Source organism: Homo sapiens, chromosome 10 (assembly GCF_000001405.40).
Source record: "Homo sapiens chromosome 10, GRCh38.p14 Primary Assembly".
Taxonomy (NCBI): domain Eukaryota; kingdom Metazoa; phylum Chordata; class Mammalia; order Primates; family Hominidae; genus Homo; species Homo sapiens.
In genome coordinates, this window is record NC_000010.11 from 90,884,989 (window position 1) to 90,903,842 (window position 18,854).

Sequence of the window (18,854 nt, forward strand, 5' to 3'; positions counted from 1 at the left end):
TTCTTCCAGCAGTGTCTTCTGGCTTGCCCTCTACACTAGTAACCTTTTCCCAGCTTTATTTTTCTTCCCTGATTTTCCATTTATCCTGATTTTCTTATCTGTTTATTTTATCTTGTATGTGGTTTTCATAAACAGTTTCAAATCTCTTTGAGAAGAAAATGCAGAGTATTACTCAACAAGTCATAGCAAAAATTAAAACAACAGAAAGGGAAATTAAAAGTTGAGAAAATGCATTCATTATCATTTGCTTTGTAGTAGCTCTGCTTTAACTATTTATGTAGATTCCTTCTATTAGTATTTGAACAAATGTCATGAGGTGCTGTGTTCATATTTCTTTAGCTACTCAGTAGACTTGATAGGAGCCACAGCCCTGGGACAATTCTTGGCACAGAGTTGCTCAATAAATAGTGTGTGGGATAAATGGACTATGCATACATTCCATTTGGCTTATTTTTTCCTTGGGTTTTAGAATAGTCAGTTTCTTCTTTCTGGGACAGTCTGAAGTAACCTTCCAGAAACTGAGCCTCGCTCTGCAACCCATCCTTATGTAGAAGACCATATGAGTTAGAGAGTCTCCAGGCCCTATCTTTTGAGAAAGTCTGTGGACATATTCCGCTTTTGCTGGATTACAGTTAAACCATTTAAACCAAACCTAAAAGAGTAGCAAAACAGTTGACTTTGTAAAAGGTCAGATGTATTTCAACACAGAACCATCAAAACACCTATGGAGTGAACCATACTTTATATCGAGTTTGACCCTATCTCCCATTCTTACTTGTGCCAATTTTCCTTTTGGCCTTACCTATTTTTTTCTTCTTTACAGATTGCTTGCACACATTTAGATGTGGATTTAGTCTGCATAACTGTAACAGAGAAACTACCATTTTACTTCAAAAGACCTCCTATTAATGTGGTAAGTGTACTTTCCATTCTGTATTTGAATCTTAGAAACTTACATTAGCAAATTGGAAAAGAAGCAGAAGAAATCAGTGTTCTTAGAAGGAAAAACAAAGGCTAGGGAATAGGAGGCAGTTTTAGAAAAGAGAATTTTCGTTTTGAAAGCTGAACAAAGGGAGAAAGAAAGCTTAAAATTAAAAATATCCAGTTAATTATTAAGATGTTTTTAAAAGGCCATAGAACCCAAAATTTATAAAGGATATTTCTTAAGAGGATAGCTAATAATCATGGGTACTTATAACCTGAACATCAATTATTAAGGGAACAGAGCAGTCAAAAAAGAAGAGGAAGGGAAAAAATAAAAAGCAGAGGATCCTTGAGGCACCAGGAAGCTAAAGAGAGTCAAGAGGGAACAGGGCATGGCATCACATAGACGTGGTCTATGCAAAATTAAAATCTGTGTTGAAGCATGCTTATTCACAAAGAGCCCAGAGTTACTTTTATATGAACCTAATAGGATGGCCATGTGTTCAGAAAACTTTTTTGTTTCTCCCTCTGCTATAGAATTTTTCTCATTCCCCTTCTACATAGTTTTCTCTTGTTTTCCCATACCCTTCATCTTCTATCTGTCCATTCCTTCTTCTGTCTTAATTTCCTCCCATTTCCATCATAAGGTAATATTATTTCACACCAGTAACTATTTTAGTAGCAAAAGGTCAGCACAGCTGTTAACTATTTGCTTTGCCAGTCAGATCCTAGGAGGAGTTCAGATGCTATTTTAGAGTAGTGGCTTCCAAAACCCTAGTCTCCTGTTCTCAAAAACTGGTATCCAAGGAGAAAAAAAAGAGTTTAGCAAATACAGTCAAAATTACATATCCAATCCTGTCAGAATCAGAAGATTAATTTTTTTTAAGTTTTTCAAAGGATAATTCCCTTGCTCTTTTGCCTCTGTAGAATCATAACTTTCTCAATTTTAATTCTCTTTGGTGCTAAGGAATTGGCTTGAGAATTAGAGGGAGACAGTAAGAGGAGAAAATGGAAAATTAGTATGTGAAAATTCAGTGTGGCAAAAATTATTAGTAGTAGTAGTAGTAGTAGTAGAGACAGGGTGTCACTCTATTGCCCAAGCTAGAGTGCAGTGGCATGATCATAGCTCACTGCAGCCTCAACTTCCTGGGATCAAGTGATCCTCCTACCTCAGCCTCCTGAGCAATTGGGACTACAGGTGCATGCCACCACACCTGGCTAATTTTTTTATGTTTTGTAAAGTTGAGGTCTCACCATGTTTCCCAGGCTGGTCTCAAACTCCTGGGCTCAAGCAATCCTCCCACCTCAGCCTCCCAAAGTGCTCAGCTTACAGGCATGAGCCACCATGCCTGACCCACCCAATGGGGAAAAGTTTAAGTTAGCTTATGTTCTACCCCTAAAAATATGCTACTCAAACTAAAAATATATCATCATATATTTCAAGGGAAAAACATAAAAGCTCTTGTTGGGTAAATTTTTTTTTTTTTTTTGAGACGGAGTCTTGCTGTCACCCAGGCTGGAGTACAGTGGCACGATCTCGGCTCACTTCCACCTCCACCTCCCTGGTTCAAGCAATTCTCCTGCCCCAGCCTCCTGAGTAGCTGGGATTACAGGTGCACACCACCATGTCCGGCTAATTTTTGTATTTCTTTTTAGTAGAGATGGGGTTTTACCATGTTGGCCAGGCTGGTCTCAAATTCCTGACCTTGTGATCCGCCCGCCTCAGCCTCGCCAAATGCTGGGATTACAGGCGTGAGCCACCACACCCGGCCTAGGGTAAATATTGACAGTACTAGTGAACATAACAATATTGGCTGAGCTCAAATCATTGGTTCCTTGTGTTATTGCCAGTACTTATAAATAAATAAGTAAACAGTGAAAAACCACTGAATCACCACATTTTCGAGTTGGAAATCTATGTTGTGCAACAGTTCATTTGTCAAATGTGGGGAAATGAAAAACTACAAGAAGTCATTCAGTTCTGTAGTCACACAGGGTTAGGAAAGTTCTGATTGGTTGTCTGTCAAGATCTCTGATGTGCCCCAGGTACCTATGATAAAAGCCACAAATTAATACAGTACTCAAGGTTATGGCAGTCTTGTTGGCCTCACATATTGTTTCTCTCCAGAGGTAGCAATCTCTGTCTTTAGAAGTTTGCCTAACCTTTTTACCAGCCTCAAACTGCCAATACAGTTTCTGTGGAAGTAGCACCCCCAGAGTTGGGCACTATAGCTACTCAGCAAATTGCTAGTGAACTTGCAACTTTTTCACCTTTTTCTTCATCTTAATGAACTAGGAAGGTCATTTTCTAGATGGCTTTGCCTGAATAAGCCCACATACGATACTGTGACCTTTGATGGGAGGAGCTAGCATGTGATGTTAAGGCCAAGTCCATGGAATGGACAGCAATGCACAACAGATAATTCCTCATGTCTCACGACAGTGGTAAGATTCCCAGTGGCTGCTTTGGTGAGAGCTTTTAATTGGGGTTCTTAGGAACTTGTATTATTATTTAAACCAGAGTGTGAGCTCCTAGAGAACACCGGCTGTCATGGTCCTTTTTTAAGTACTCCACTATCTTGCGTATAATGAGTCCTCCTTACAGTTTGTTGAGTCAATAAGTACATGTTGAACTTAGCATATCAGGGTACAGCATAGGGGACCTGGCCAAATTCTGCTCGTTGTTAGTCACCAGCTGGATGTCCACATTCATCAGGAAGTATATGCCGTGAGGGAAGTGGGGCAGTGGGGCAACATGAGGAGGACAGTGGCACTCAAGACAGTTGACACCAGGACACCCCACCCCCTGATTCCATTGGGAAGTTCAGGAAAGCTCCTTTCGTTTGATGGGCATTTTTCGCTTAATTCCTACATTTTTCAATTTAAGAATTCTGAAAAGTAAAAAATTCTGTCAAGTGAGAGGGATATGCAGTTTAACATGGTGTCTGCTTTAAAAAAAATCTGGTGTGAACATTTTGCATATGTTGTTTAATAAAAACTAGATGATGGAGTGGAAAGAAAGGCTGCACAAGATTATTTTTAGTCTTCATCTAGTAGAAGAGTAGGCTGCACTGTGAATTGGTCAGGAAGCAGAAGAGTCCCTGTTAATTTATTCACCTATTTTTTATTAAAGAGAGAAAGTTGGAAACATACAGGTGTCTAGCTTGTTGTTCAGAGTAAATAATAGTTGTGGCATAGGTATGTATGTATTATTTGTAACATAATATCCAGTCTGGCTGTGGAGCTGTTTGTCTACATAAAGTATGGAAATGTATACATTGTGAGAGCACAGTCTTGGTCCTTGCATGTTCCCTTGGCTTTGAGTGTAAACTTGTTTTTGGCCTTGAGAAGTTCATAGATTGGCTTTAAAAGGATCACTTTATAAGGATTACTTTTTTTTTTTTTTTTTTTTTTGAGACAGAGTCTCGCTCTGTCCACCCACGCTGGAGTGCAGTGGTGTGATCTCGGCTCACTGCAGCCTCCGCCTCCTCAGTTCAAGCAATTCTCCTGTCTCAGCCTCCCAAGTAGCTGGGATTACAGACATCCGCCACCACAGCTGGCTAATTTTTTTTTTATTTTTAATAGAGTTGGGGTTTCATCATGTTGGCCAGGCTGGTTTTGAACTCCTGACCTCAAGTGATCCACCCGCCTCGGCCAGGATACTTTAAATTAAGCACAGATCTTAATTTTGTCACGATGTGGGCCCTTTTCTTTGGTTGTGGTGAAAAGCAGTATTAAGAAAGGTAAATCATTCATCTTTTACCAATAGGCCAGATGCCATGTGAGAATCATCAGCTTGGAAGGTTGGGATTGTGAAGGAGGGCCCAGGAGCTCTATAGCATACCAAACACTCCATTTGTGTACTTTGCAGCTCTTTTCCCTTTTGTCATCTTCACTGTATGCTTAGGGCACCATAATTTCAATTATGCAATTTCCTCTAAAATCTCCCACAAACCTCTTCTGGAGTCTAAGTAACTTGTCATCGCATTTCTGTCATGTGATAGATGTGTTTCTAAAAAATTGGATTCCACTCCTTTTCTTGAATAATCACATGACTTCAGATTATTTAGCATTTTATGACATAAGCAGTTTGATACCTGCTTTGGCCCAGCAGTTTTGGGATGGGGTAGATGTTAATTATCTCCATATGCAGGTAATACAGTAGAATCTTAGGTAGTTCATGGTTCACACAGTTAAATGACTCTCTCAAGGGGTTGACAAGGGATTTGTACTCAAGCTTTGATTCCAAATCTGCTGTTATTTCCTACTGGGAAATGCTTTTTAAAGTTACTTTACAGCAGAACTCTTTGTTAAGCACAGAGTAATTTCATATTTTAAAACATGAGCTTTATGAATTCAGGTTGTGAGAAGAAGGATGTTCTTAAAACAGCACGTATCTCTTTACTTTCCCTTTGATTTTTTTACAATGTTATTTCCATTTCAATGTTATTGTCACTTAACAATGACTTCAAGCTTATTGAGTTATTTTAAGGGATCTTATATGTTTTACACTCTCTCTGATGTTTTCCCCTCAGTCCTTCCTTTAACCCTAATCCATTTCTGTCTTCGTGGTCCGATTACTCCCCACTGAGAGATGTTTAGTAAGTAGTATCTAAACAGTGAGGTAGTTCCATGAATCATGCTATAAATACTTGATTTGGATGTGAGTGTTCTGTAAACTTTGTTTTATCACACATGAATCTAATGTGTTAAGTACTGTGTCCATTCAGTGCCAGCAAATTGTGCCAGTATTAAAAATTTCTGTGGAAAAAAAAAATGCAAACAACACCAGAAACAAGGTTAAAAGACAGATGACAAACTGATGGAAAATTTTCACTCATGTCATAGACAAAATGCTTATTCCCTTAACACATAAAGACCAAAGAGTGCCTAGAAATTAATAAGTTAAAAAAAAAGATGAACAATACCAAAAAATGGATTAAGAATATGAAAAAGGCATTTCACAGTAAAGGAAATGCAAACAGGCCTTAGACATATGAAAAGATGATTAAATTTATCATAGTAAGAGATTTCACATTAAAATCACCTGTGTGATTAGAGATACACTCTGTTGTAAGGCTGCAGGAAAGCAGACATTCTCATATTTTGCTCGTAACTGTGTAAATGAGAACAGTCCCTATGCGGAGAGTGGGTAATTTGGCAACAACTATTCAAATTACAAATACGTTTACTGATTTAAACAACAGTTTTAAACTGTATGATCTCACAGTTCTGAAGCCTGCAAGTCTGAAATCAAGGTGTCAGCATGGTCTTGTTCCCTCTGAAATCTATAGGACCACCTTCCTTGCCTCTTTTTAGCTTTTGGTGATTTTCTGGCAATCTTTGGTAATCCTGGGCTTGCAGCTACGTAACTCCAGTCTCTGCCTTTGTCTTCAGTGTGTTCTCCCTGTTTGTCTCTATGTCTTCACATGGCCATCGTCTCATAAGACACCAGTCATATTGGATTAGGGGCCTACCCTATTCCAATCTGACTTCATCTTAACTAATTACATCTACAGTGACCCTATTTCCAAATATAAGATTACATTCTGAGGTACTGAGGTTTAGGGCTTCATTGTATCTTTTGTGGATGAGGACGCAATTCAACCCATTATGCCTAGCAATCCCACTTTAGTGTTATTCTACAGATACACTGAAACCACCCAAAGGCTCTCAGTAGAGGTTTGGTTAAATACATGCTATACCTCTACAATATGATACTCTACAACTGTAAAACAGAGGAAGTTATGAGCTGACTTGGAAGAGCTTTCATGTCAGGACAACAATGCAGCAGACTACCTTTTGGATAGGAAAGAAAAATAGTATCTCTTCGTATTTGCTTATAGTTGTATGAAGAAACTCTGGAAGAAGACACAAGAAATTAATAAAAGTGATTATTGGAGGAAGGGATAGGGCAGATAGGATTGGAGATGCAAGTAGTACTTTTTATTGTTTTCTTATGTTGCTTTGTGAGTCATGTGGACAAATTACCTGTCTTAAACACTGAAAGGGTTTCATTCATTTGAATTGAATAAAGAACTAATTTTTATGAAATTAACAGGGAATCAGTATATTGTCCCAGTAATCAGCTCCTTACTTTCTTCTCGTCTTTCTCTAAGGCTTTGCTTAATACTTGGAATTTTAGTACCAATGTATCTTGATTCAACTGTCACACACCTGTCCTTAGTAGCATCTTTATGACCATTATTTTTCATTAGTAAAGAAATGTGATCATCCACCCATGCCAGAACCTTTGGTCAGACATGAGAACAAAAGCTAATCAGGCAGGCACTGTTAGGAAGAGGCTGTTAGGAACAATCATTTGATGAGCTTTAGGCAATTTGCATCAAAATGGTCTTACAGCAAGATCCCAGGTAATGAGTCTGTATTTTATCCATCTAAAAATTTAAAATAAGATGCTATGAAAGAAATATTCACAACCTTCAATAGCACATTATTTTTAATTTTTCTTTTTCAAGAATTCCTATAGCAGTTTTAAAGTGAACTTGATTAATGTACCAAGATGAAAATCAGAACTTTTTCCTTAAAAAATAATTATGCTGATAATATCCTTTTTTTCTCCCCTCCCCCCGCAAAAGTTGTTTTTATTTTGATTTGGTACCCACAAGGGTCTAGAAATTTAGATTCAGTCAATTAGGAATATTTCGAGATCTAAGCATCCAACTCTATATATCATTCACCTCTTTCATTTATTTCCCCTCTTCATCATCCTGTTGCCTTGTATTATCGTTCCACAACTAGAAGGATAAGGAAAAGAAATACAGGTCAGCCTCTTCAGCTAATTAGTAGTTTTGGTAAAATATATAGCCAAGGAGATGGCTGATAATATGGCTAAAAGGGATGTTTTTACTTATCTGTGGTTTTTGGTTAGCCAGGTGCACCGAGGTTCCTTTGATGATGGATCATCTATAATGAACAACGTTATCACAGGACATCTTCTCCATAAGCTGCTATTTATTCACTCAAAATATAAATATATTATACACCTTTTATGTAAAAGGCAGTCTAGCTCTCAAGAAGTGTGCAAGCTTGGCAGAGCCAATGAGATACACGTTCAACTAGGACAGAAATACTATCTTAACAAATGTCATTCCCAGAAATAATCAACACAGGTGAAAGAATTAGAGATGGGGAAAAGTCAAAAAATGAGAGAGGGAAAGGTTGCAGTGTGGAAAATAGCATTTAAATTCTAACCAAACTAGAATCAGACATATAGGAAAATCTAAAATAAAATCTGGGAGCCTTGAAGCCGGAGGAAGAATTAAGGAAATCTGTGTTCGGGAGGGAAAAGCAGAAGGGGCCTTCAAGTACAACTGAATTAAATCAAGATGGACTGCCAGTTCTAGAAAAAGACAAGTTTCTCCATTCCCCGTAAATGCTCAGGAGTAAACCCCAGTAGTCACAGCTGGGCCAGTCCCAACTTATACTCTGGGCAATCGAAACTCATTTGCCAAGCAGAGACTTGGACCATACTGCCTAGAACATGCCTACCATTCTTTCTTTATTCTTTTGAAAGAGTACTGCCACTCAAGTGACTTTTGCAATTGAGAGTCTGATTATCATCTCTATGCTGAAAATCCTTCAGATGTTTTCTCCATTAGGAATAATCCTCATCACCAGCTCTAAAGGCCTGCACAGTTGGCCCTTCCCATCCTCTTTAGCCTGTCTTCCTCATTATTTTTCTCCAGCATTTGACCTTCCCTACGTGCTGCCATGCTGCAACCTTGAAGACTTTTGCATGCTCTGACCTCCCTCTGAAAGTGCACCTTCCTCTACTATTTAACTGCTTAATTTCTTCCTCAACCCTAAACTTCTCCTTGATAGCACTTAACACAGTTGAAGTTTTGTATTTTTGTGTGGTTATTGATCATCTCCCCCACTAAAATGTAAGCTTTTAGAAGGGAGAAACCATCTCAGCTTTTGCACGTAGTGGGCTTAAAACATCTTTTGTGAATGGATGCAGACATTTAGGTGCTCATTAGGAAAGCTGAACAGTATGGTGGTTAATTTCAATATCATTTCCACTCATCTACTTACCTGTGGATCCCTCTGTAGTAAGAGTACATTAAATAAAGAAGTTTCTGTTTCTCATGAAAAAAGCCAAGCTTGTATGGTGAGCTGGGCAAAATCTTCAAGGGCACTTCCATCTTTTTTGCTGTGCGGCTATAAGCCCAGTGAAAAATCAGGGGCTTTATTACTAAAGAAAAAGGAGAGGACAGATATCTGGGCAATTTGCAGGCTTTGCAGTAATGCTTTATAAAGGTATTGTAGTAAGGATTAAATATTATATATAAGACTCTCTTAGCATATAGTCAGCACTCAATTAACTATGGCTGTTATTCTCTCTTCAACATATAGAGAATAAATTACTTACCTGAAAGACCTTCCTGCCCTTGGTTCTTTGGGCTTTTTTCAGCTCTTCATTTCTTTGTCTCTTTGTGCATTCATAGGTCAGATTACTTGGTTTACTATGTTTGTATACAGTTTACTGTAAATGTAGGGAGTACATTTCTGTTTTCCTTTTGATAGTTCATGGAGTAGTAGCCCCTCTCTCACGCCATTGGGACTTTGTTCTTCTTAGCCTCTTCATAATTCCTGTTTATGTAAAGTCAGCTTCCCCACAGCCAAGTTAAACTCTCTTAATCAAGTAGAGCCACGGATTTATTTTCTTCTCCTTGTGGGTGGTGCCATTTGAGTGTTGATCTGTCTTTCATAAAGCTGTACCTTGACATGTAAGGGGTCAGTAGTAGGGAGTGAGGAGGGATGTGAAGAGAGAATCAGTGAAAATGAAGTAGGCCAGTGCATGCTTATCTCTGACAGTTCTCTTTATTTCCTGTGAAGGCGATTGACCGAGGCCTGGCTTTTGAACTTGTCTATAGCCCTGCTATCAAAGACTCCACAATGAGAAGGTATACAATTTCCAGTGCCCTCAATTTGATGCAAATCTGCAAAGGAAAGGTATGGTTCTATAATTTTAGGATGTTTTTCGCATCTGGCAGTTTATTATTAGTAGTACACTGGAATTGTCAAACTGACTCCTTTTCCTTAAAGCAGAATGTTCTCATAGCATAGGAACAAATTCTGCCATTTCAGTGAGCTCTGCAAATTTTAAGGGAAAGAAAAATACCAAGGGAAGAATAATGTAAGGGAGAAAAAGATGTGTTGGAAGCCATATCTTTTGATAAAAATTTGCAATTTACATACTGTGAAAGAAAAGTCTAGAATAACAATGGTCCTCACTGAGTTGAATTAAGATATGTGACCTTTTCATCTTGTTTTTTAAACTTAATTCACCTTTACTAAGATCTGTTAGGAAAACATATTTTGTTTTTTATTACAGATTGCCTTTAGTTTGACATGAAGTCTTTTCATTTTTTTCACCTTAATTATTTACCTTATCTTTAAAAGAAGTTGGTATTTGAGCCTTAAATGTTAAAATATGATTACTGGCTATTTATATTATGAAACTCCTTTTTTTACATTTATCTAAGATTAATATTAGTCACTTTCTATTTTGTAGAATGTAATTATATCTAGTGCTGCAGAAAGGGTAAGTCTAGCATGAAGTACTTTGTTTTCATCTTTCAGGTTATAAAACTTTTCAGTTTCTAGGGGATAAATTAAAATAGTAAATGAATATTTGTTGCATTTTTTTCTATTTTAACTGCATTTGCTCATTGTAATTGCTAAATAGTAAAATTTATCCCCACTTTCTTTAGGCTTCAACTTTTGTTTATATAATCAGTTTTTCTTTTATACTGTTACAAAATGCCTTTCAAGCTTCTCTTATATTTTCAAAAGCTATGAAACCCATCAAAATTATAAGGACTTAAATTTATGTAATTTTTTTATTTTTGGATACTTAAATTTTCTATTAATTTGCTATAAGTCATTGAAATGTTATAAATAATTTTCTCATATCTACTCTTTGTTCATTTTATTTCAGCCTTTAGAAATAAGAGGGCCATATGACGTGGCAAATCTGTATCCTTTTCTGAGTAAAAAGTTGTTGACATTGTCTTTCAGGAAATTTTGAATTTGAAGTCGTATTATAGTTGAACATGTATTTTTCTCAACCTTTTACTGTAAGTTTACCAATTAATAACTTCAAAAATAAATTATATAACATTATAGAGAGCTTTATGCTTCTGTTTTTTAATTAATCATGAGATAGAAAAGAGGGAATGAGGGACTTCATATGATAAAAGCTTAGAGTTAAATGAGTCTTTTCTCAGATGCATGTTCCAGTTGGACTAAGAACTGCTGTTGAATTAATTAGCCTCTCAAGATGACCAGGTTAGCTGGCACTTTCTGTTATGTTTGTGTTAGTCTCGTGTCCTTGGGTGACTCTGGGTTGAAATCTTTAATGCTCCCCCAAGAGGCTTGCTGTTTGGGCTCTCTGAAAGTGACGCCAAGGCTGCGGTGTCCACCAACTGCCGAGCAGCGCTTCTCCATGGAGGTAAGCAAGTTCTTCCAGTACAAACTGAATGGTCATGTTAAAAGCAAGTCATTTTTACAGCCATACCTATTTTTATTGCCCTACCCTACAGAGTTCCTTTGGGATCATCTTTTCTCAACCTGTTCTAAACACAGTCATCAGTGTTTTCTCACCCTCACTTCAGGCTTTACTTTCTAAAGTTTGTAGAATGAATATAGTTTTCATTACAGAAATAAGTATTGAATAGTTCTTCCAGCTATACATGTGTGCTCCTGCCGACATTTTGATAGGCTTCTAATCTCCCTTCCTTCTTCTCCCTCACCAGAAGGCCATGCTTTCCCTGTTGAAAATCTCTGTTTTAGAGAACGGATATGTTAAAAATATGTGTTAAACTATTTATTAGGAAAACAAAACCAGCAAATACATTTTTAAAAATCCAACTAACAAAACATAGACTGTAACTTTTACATTTATTATAACTCAGAATGTTTCTTTTCTCATGTTTGCTTACATGGTCAAGTTGTGTCCAGACTGTACCTTTTTTATTTTTTTTTCTTTTTCTAAATAGAGACAGAGTCTCACTATGTTGCCCAGGCTGGTCTTGAACTCCTGGGCTCAAGCAATCCTCCTACCTCAGCCTCCCAAAGTGCTAGGATTACAGACATGAGCCACCATGCCCGGCCAGACTGTACATTTTTTACTCACATTTTGTATATGTACCTTTTCACTGACTGAGTTTCCTGCTCATCAGATGTTAAAAATTGAAAGTATGCTGAAACTTTGGAAAATGAAAGTGAAATTTTATTAAAACAATTTAAGCTTTTGATCACTGTTTTGTCTTCGTTATCTTTATAATTCTTAGGACTAGTTGTAGTGGTTAAGAAGCAATTTCATTGATATCACCCAAGTGAATTTTAAACTTCAAAGTAGATTGCTACATATAGACTGAGTTATTTGTCATATGAATAGCTAGGTTATTGAGGGCTTGTGTGTTGGGCTTTATTGATCTGATTTCCACTTGAGAGAACTGCTTATGTATTGGCTTGCCGTAAATTAGATGATTTTGCTTTTAGTTTCAACATTTTTAGTTTGAGATTTTTGTATTATGTAGCCTAGAACTCATCACATAAGCTTTGGGAGTGGTCAAATTAATGGAGATTTTGAATAATGATTTTCTTGAAATTAGGGAACAGTTGGTTCACACTTTGATAGTTCTGTCATTATTTTGATCTATTTTAAATAAACATTCATCAGGATTTTGAGTAACAGTTGGGGTTCCAAAATGGACTAAACAAGAAACAGAAACTAAAATATAAATACATACATAATTTTATATATAGGAAAATAGGAAGTCCTGCATTTGACTTTAAGAACTCAGCTATTCAGCATATAACACATAATATGTAAAGTATTTTTTTTTAGAATTTCTTTTTGTGGGTACATAGTATGTGTATATATTTATGGGGTACTGAGATATTTTGATATAGGCATGCAATGCATAATAATTACATCATGGAAAATGGGGTGTCCATCCCCTCAAGCATATGTCTTGTGTTATAAACAATCCAATTATGCTTTTTTAGTTATTTTTAAATATACAATTAAATTGTATTGACTATGGTCACCCTCTTGTGCTATCATATACTAGACCTTGTTCATTCTATTTTTTTTGTACCCATTAACCATCTTCACCTCCCTCTCAGCCCCCCACTACCCTTCCCAGCCTCTGGTAACCATCCTTCTACTTTCTGTCTCCAGGAGTTCAGTTGCTTTGATTTTTAGATCCCACAAACAAGTGAGAACATGTGATGTTTGTCTTTCTGTGTCTAAAATCAGGCTTTTATAGAAGCTAAACTTAAAGAAGACTTGTGAACTTTGGGTGGCATTACCATTCACCCCAGTGTACCCAGGACAGTTCTAGTTTATGCCTGCTGTTTCTGTGACCTTATTAGCACTTCTATTCCCTGAAGAGAGTCCTAAACTAGATGATAAAATATGGTTACCCTGGTTTTCGTTGCCATTGGGATCAGTATGAGACGGTAGTATGATGTGTTCTTAAGATTGCTAATTCAGCCTAGGTAATATTAGAAGAAATAAAGGATTCTGAGACAAGGAAATTCAAAGCCTCGTTATTATACTCTCATTGATGAAATCTCAGCCGGCATCTGTATCATTCTGAGTGCCACATTTAAGAAGGACAGCAGTGCACTGAAACACTATTGGAAAATGTCTACTCAGTCCTTAAAGGGTCTGGAAGCCTCATGATGAGAGGAATCACGAGGGTGGTGCAGACATGGATACCTGGCAAGCAGAAGAGTTGGGACACATGGTAGTTAGCTTTCAACTTGGAAGGCTTGCCACAGGAAATCAGAATTAGGTTCTTTGGGGGTCCAGAAATCTAGAAACCAATGAATAGCAATTCTGAGGAGGTTGTGGGGAAAGGACAGAGGAAAGAGGCCCAAGGTCAGGGTCTTTGGCCTGTGATTGATAAAGTTCATGCCCTCAATCAGCCCCTGGACCAAAATGAACCTGTTGGGGACACCTGCCTTAGCCCCTTGTGAACAAAATTATTCACTCGTAGATAATCCTTTAGATTTTCCTTGGCAAGATGATTAAAGGAAATACTATATGTGAAAACATTTTATAAACTAAAGCATACACAAATGTAACGTCTTGCTGTTACCAAGAAATGCATTTATTTTTAAAAGACACTAAAGAAATTAATGCATTTTGTTAAAAAGTGCTGATTTTCATAATGTTTATATTTCAGTTGATTTTTAGACTATGGGTACAGAATCAGTGACATAAATTAATAGCTATAAGTGTGACGTTTTTCATTTGGTGAAATGGAAATCATTGACAGTTTTTATTTTGAGGTTCTTATTATGTTGGCATTTTAATGACCTTGAGAGCAGTTTTATCCCTTTTACAAATAAAAGTGTTTTAAAATAATTGGCAGAGTAGATTTACTAAGTTAATCTTGATAAATGGGAAAATAATGCTTAACACTTTATGGTTGACTTTACGTTTATTACTTGAAATAAGGAATAATTCATAGCTAAATTTCTGTTCAAGTTCTTTTGATTCTGCCACCTTTGTAGCTAATGGGTATCTCTCTCTTTCTCCATAATCCCTTTCCATTTCTAAGGACAGAGTTTGGGTCTGTTTTCATGACACTATGGCCTTTCATAAGTTACCCTTCCAAACTCTATTTTCTCCTAATTTTTTTGTATTCCTACTTCACATCAGCCATATTGTCCCCTAAACTATTTTACCTAGGTTCTTCTTATCTTTCTCTCCATGCCTTTGTAAAGGAATATTTCTCTTTTTCTTACTCCGTTTACCCTATTCTGAGTAGTGTCACCTTTATATAATACCTCATTGCTTTAACCAGGCAGTTAATTCTTGTGGATGCCTCCATTCCTATTATATTTGCTCTTATTGTGCTTCTCGCATGCATGTAGTATAGGGAAAAGCACTGTCTGTTAGGAATCTTAATACCCTCTGTATGGACACAGTGCCTAGCCTATTAGTAGGTTTCTAGGAAAAATTGGTTAAATTTAAGTTGAACTCTGCTGCCAGCCTAATCTAAGCATTTAATAATTTCTATTTATTCTTTGTTCATTGTCACCAGTTAAAGAGATCAATAAATTTATGAGTGATTTTATTCATTAACTCAACTAGTATTTACTGAACACATTTTGCATAACCAGGCCATTGTTGAGTGTTGGCAATATAATGCAATTGATTCTTCAGAGGTACCTTGATGTTCTAATAAGAGAGATAGGGTACATGCTGTAAAATGAGGCAAGCATGTGCTCCACATGGGAGCCATACACTTGATTGCTGTGTTTGCTCTCTTGATTTGTCTGTCTACCATATATAAAGTGTCTGCTACATCAATGTCTGTGACTGGGTTCTGGCTACATAAGATGCCATGGACAGACCATTAGAGATAACACTGTCCTGCAGTTTTACCCATGAGGTAATCTTTAGGAATGAATTAGATGTTAATAATATACTGATATTTGTGTCTGTTGGGAAAAAAAGATAATGACGGTAAATGGCACTAGCAGCCATAGCAGTTCATTATGGCTTATCATTTGCTATTGCTGTAAGCCAAAGTAATATGTTAAACCACCTCATTTTAAATTATGTCTTAACTTCAAGCACAGTGGTTTCCCTGTTTGTTTTACAGAAACTAGAAAAACTGCTTTTGGAATTATCTCTACAGTGAAGAAACCTCGGCCATCAGAAGGAGATGAAGATTGTCTTCCAGCTTCCAAGAAAGCCAAGTGTGAGGGCTGAAAAGAATGCCCCAGTCTCTGTCAGCACTCCCTTCTTCCCTTTTATAGTTCATCAGCCACAACAAAAATAAAACCTTTGTGTGATTTACTGTTTTCATTTGGAGCTAGAAATCAATAGTCTATAAAAACAGTTTTACTTGCAATCCATTAAAACAACAAACGAAACCTAGTGAAGCATCTTTTTAAAAGGCTGCCAGCTTAATGAATTTAGATGTACTTTAAGAGAGAAAGACTGGTTATTTCTCCTTTGTGTAAGTGATAAACAACAGCAAATATACTTGAATAAAATGTTTCAGGTATTTTTGTTTCATTTTGTTTTTGAGATAGGGTCTTTGTTGCTCAGGCTGGAGTACAGTGGCATAATCACAGCTCACTGCAACCTCAATCCTGGGCTCAAGTGATCCTCCCGCTTCAGCCTCTCAAGCAGCGGGAACTACAGGTGTGCACTACCACACCTGGCTATTTTTTTTTTTTTTTTTTTTTTCCCTTGTAGAGACATGGTCTCACTATGTTGCTGAGGCTGGTCTCAAACTCCTAGGATCAAGCCATCCTCCCGCTTTGGCCTCCTAAAGTGCTGGGATTACATGAGCCACCACATGCAGCCAGATGTTTGAATATTTTAAGAGCTTCTTTCGAAAGTTTCTTGTTCATACTCAAATAGTAGTTATTTTGAAGATATTCAAACTTATATTGAAGAAGTGACTTTAGTTCCTCTTGTTTTAAGCTTCTTTCATGTATTCAAATCAGCATTTTTTTCTAAGAAATTGCTATAGAATTTGTGGAAGGAGAGAGGATACACATGTAAAATTACATCTGGTCTCTTCCTTCACTGCTTCATGCCTACGTAAGGTCTTTGAAATAGGATTCCTTACTTTTAGTTAGAAACCCCTAAAACGCTAATATTGATTTTCCTGATAGCTGTATTAAAAATAGCAAAGCATCGGACTGAACCAACTTTGGAAATAATTTATTTTTATAATGGGATCATGTTAAGTAGAAGTAGCTTTTTATGCAAATACATGCATTTATGCAATATTAATGTAAGGGCTCTAAAACAATGGAGTAGAGCCAGAGGTATAACTGAATAAGAAATTTTTTTAAGCAAGAGAAAGACAACTGTTCTGCGGGTTGGAGAAAATACAATTTTTTTTTTTTTTTTTGAGACAGTCTCGCTCTGTCCCCCAGGCTGGAGTGCAGTGGCTCGATCTCTGCTCACTGCAAGCTCCGCCTCCTGGGTTCATGCCATTCTCCTGCCTCAGCCTCCTGAGTAGCTGGGACTACAGGCGCTCGCCATGTATTTAGCAGAGACGGGGTTTCACCGTGTTAGCCAGGATGGTCTCAATCTCCTGACCTCATATTCCACCCGCCTCGGCCTCCCAAAGTGCTGGGATTACAGGCGTTAGCCACTGCGCCCGGCCCGAGAAAATACAGTTTTAAAAAGAGAAAGCTTTATAACCTCACCAATGAATACAAATGTTTAAATAAAATATTGATTAAAAAAACATTAAAAGTGCATCATGACCAGGTGAAATTTATTCTTTTTTTCTTCTTCTTTTTGAGACAGGGTCTCACTCTGTCACCCAGGCTGGAGTGCAGTGGCACAATCTCGGCTCACTGCAACCTTTGCCTCTTGGGCTCAAGCCATCCTCCCACCTCAGCCTCCCAAGTAAGTGGGACCAGAAGCATGCACCACCACATCCCAGCTAATTTTTGTATTTTTTTGTAGAGATGGGGTTTTGCCATGTCCAGGCTAGTCTCAAACTCCTGGCAGATTCAAGCAGTCTGTCCGCCTCAGCATCCCAAAGTGCTGGGATTACAGGCACAGGCATGAGCCACCATACCCGGCCTTCCAGTTCTTTTTAATGCAGTATCCTTTATCATATTCATAGGTCAAAAGAGAAAAATCAGAATATTTTTAATAGATGCCAGAAAGACATTTAATAAAGTTAAATCCACTCCTGATTTTTAAAATGACAACAATAAAAACCCATGGCAAAATTAAAGTAGAATAATATTGTATGCATACATATATATGTTCATATGTGTCTGTTTTTTGTGTATATTAAATGTGATGGCTCCAAAAGCATTTTTGACTACCGCTTGGCCAATTTGATGGATTAACCTACTCATTCCTTCTGTAAAACTGAGGCTGGTGCTGCTGAGGCCACACACCAAAAGTCTGCCACTTCCTTGTGTGCCAGTTTGCTTTTTTCCTTCACCCTGCTTAAGTTCACCAAAAGTCAGCTGTGTTTATTCACAAATCTGTTTAAGGCAGCTGTGTTTAGCATTGTATGTAAATTATTTTTTTAAATATGAAAATTGATGAGCTATTGGGGGCAAATGAAAAATTCCCGGGAAAACTAAGTCAACACTTTGGAAAGGTTTGGAAAAGAGTCATTACAAAGAACTGCTGTCAAATTAGATATGAGAAGGATAACAAATTTGGGGGTGATCAGTAAAAACTCTGCACTTGGATTGCTTCACTAATGTCAAGTTCCTTTTCTGCTTTAAAGGAACTAGAATTCAACAAAGACAACTTTTGATCTCTCATCAGAGAGATCATACTCCCAAGAACAGGCTTTGACCCTTCTTTAAAAGGTTGGTACCCAAGTATACATTTATCTATTTTAAGCTTAAAATGCTTAACAGGATGTATGTTCAATTTTTTGCGACGTCCCACCTTAATTTATGAATTAGTGATGTACCAGCTACAGTTGCACCAGATACAGTAAGATTTTCATGTTATAGAAAGGAGGTAAAATTATTTGCAGATACGACTGTCTTGGAAAACTCGTGAAATAAATGGGAAAAAAGTAGAAATACAGGTACCTTTCAGCTTACGTCCATTTACTACACATTTGTGTAGTATGTGTTTGCAGTTGTGCGTGCTTTCTATTCATACATGTTTATGCCATTGTTCATGATAGTAGGGCATGATGGCTGATCACCAGTGAATAGCAGAGGCAAGTTTCCTTCTAATATTTACTTTCGTTAGAATGAACCACTAATTTAATTGCTACAAGATGCCAATACCTCTGCCAAACCAAGATGAAGTTTGGCAGAGTGGCCAATTGTATAAATACACAAAAACCAGATTTTGATTAATAACCTGTTAAATAATTTTAAAAGATGACACTATTCACAAAGACATAAATTACCAAGAA

General features: G+C 37.2%; 1 protein-coding gene across 2 annotated transcripts in view; it reads left to right on the forward strand.

Annotated features, from left to right (window-relative positions):
* The window catches only part of RPP30 (ribonuclease P/MRP subunit p30), a 36,583-nt gene that overhangs the window by 13,015 nt on the left and 4,714 nt on the right, over positions 1-18,854 (forward strand). The window contains exons 6-13 of one of the 2 annotated variants that reach the window (NM_001104546.2): positions 824-913; positions 9,787-9,903; positions 10,466-10,495; positions 10,892-10,929; positions 11,325-11,404; positions 15,582-15,680; positions 17,255-17,356; positions 18,204-18,288. In NM_001104546.2, coding sequence (NP_001098016.1) covers positions 824-913; positions 9,787-9,903; positions 10,466-10,495; positions 10,892-10,929; positions 11,325-11,404; positions 15,582-15,680; positions 17,255-17,356; positions 18,204-18,274 — 627 coding nt within the window. In that variant the 3' untranslated portion in view covers positions 18,275-18,288. Of the gene's footprint in view, positions 1-823; positions 914-9,786; positions 9,904-10,465; positions 10,496-10,891; positions 10,930-11,324; positions 11,405-15,581; positions 17,204-17,254; positions 17,357-18,203; positions 18,289-18,854 lie in introns of those variants that run through there. The other variant, NM_006413.5, reaches the window with a different exon arrangement.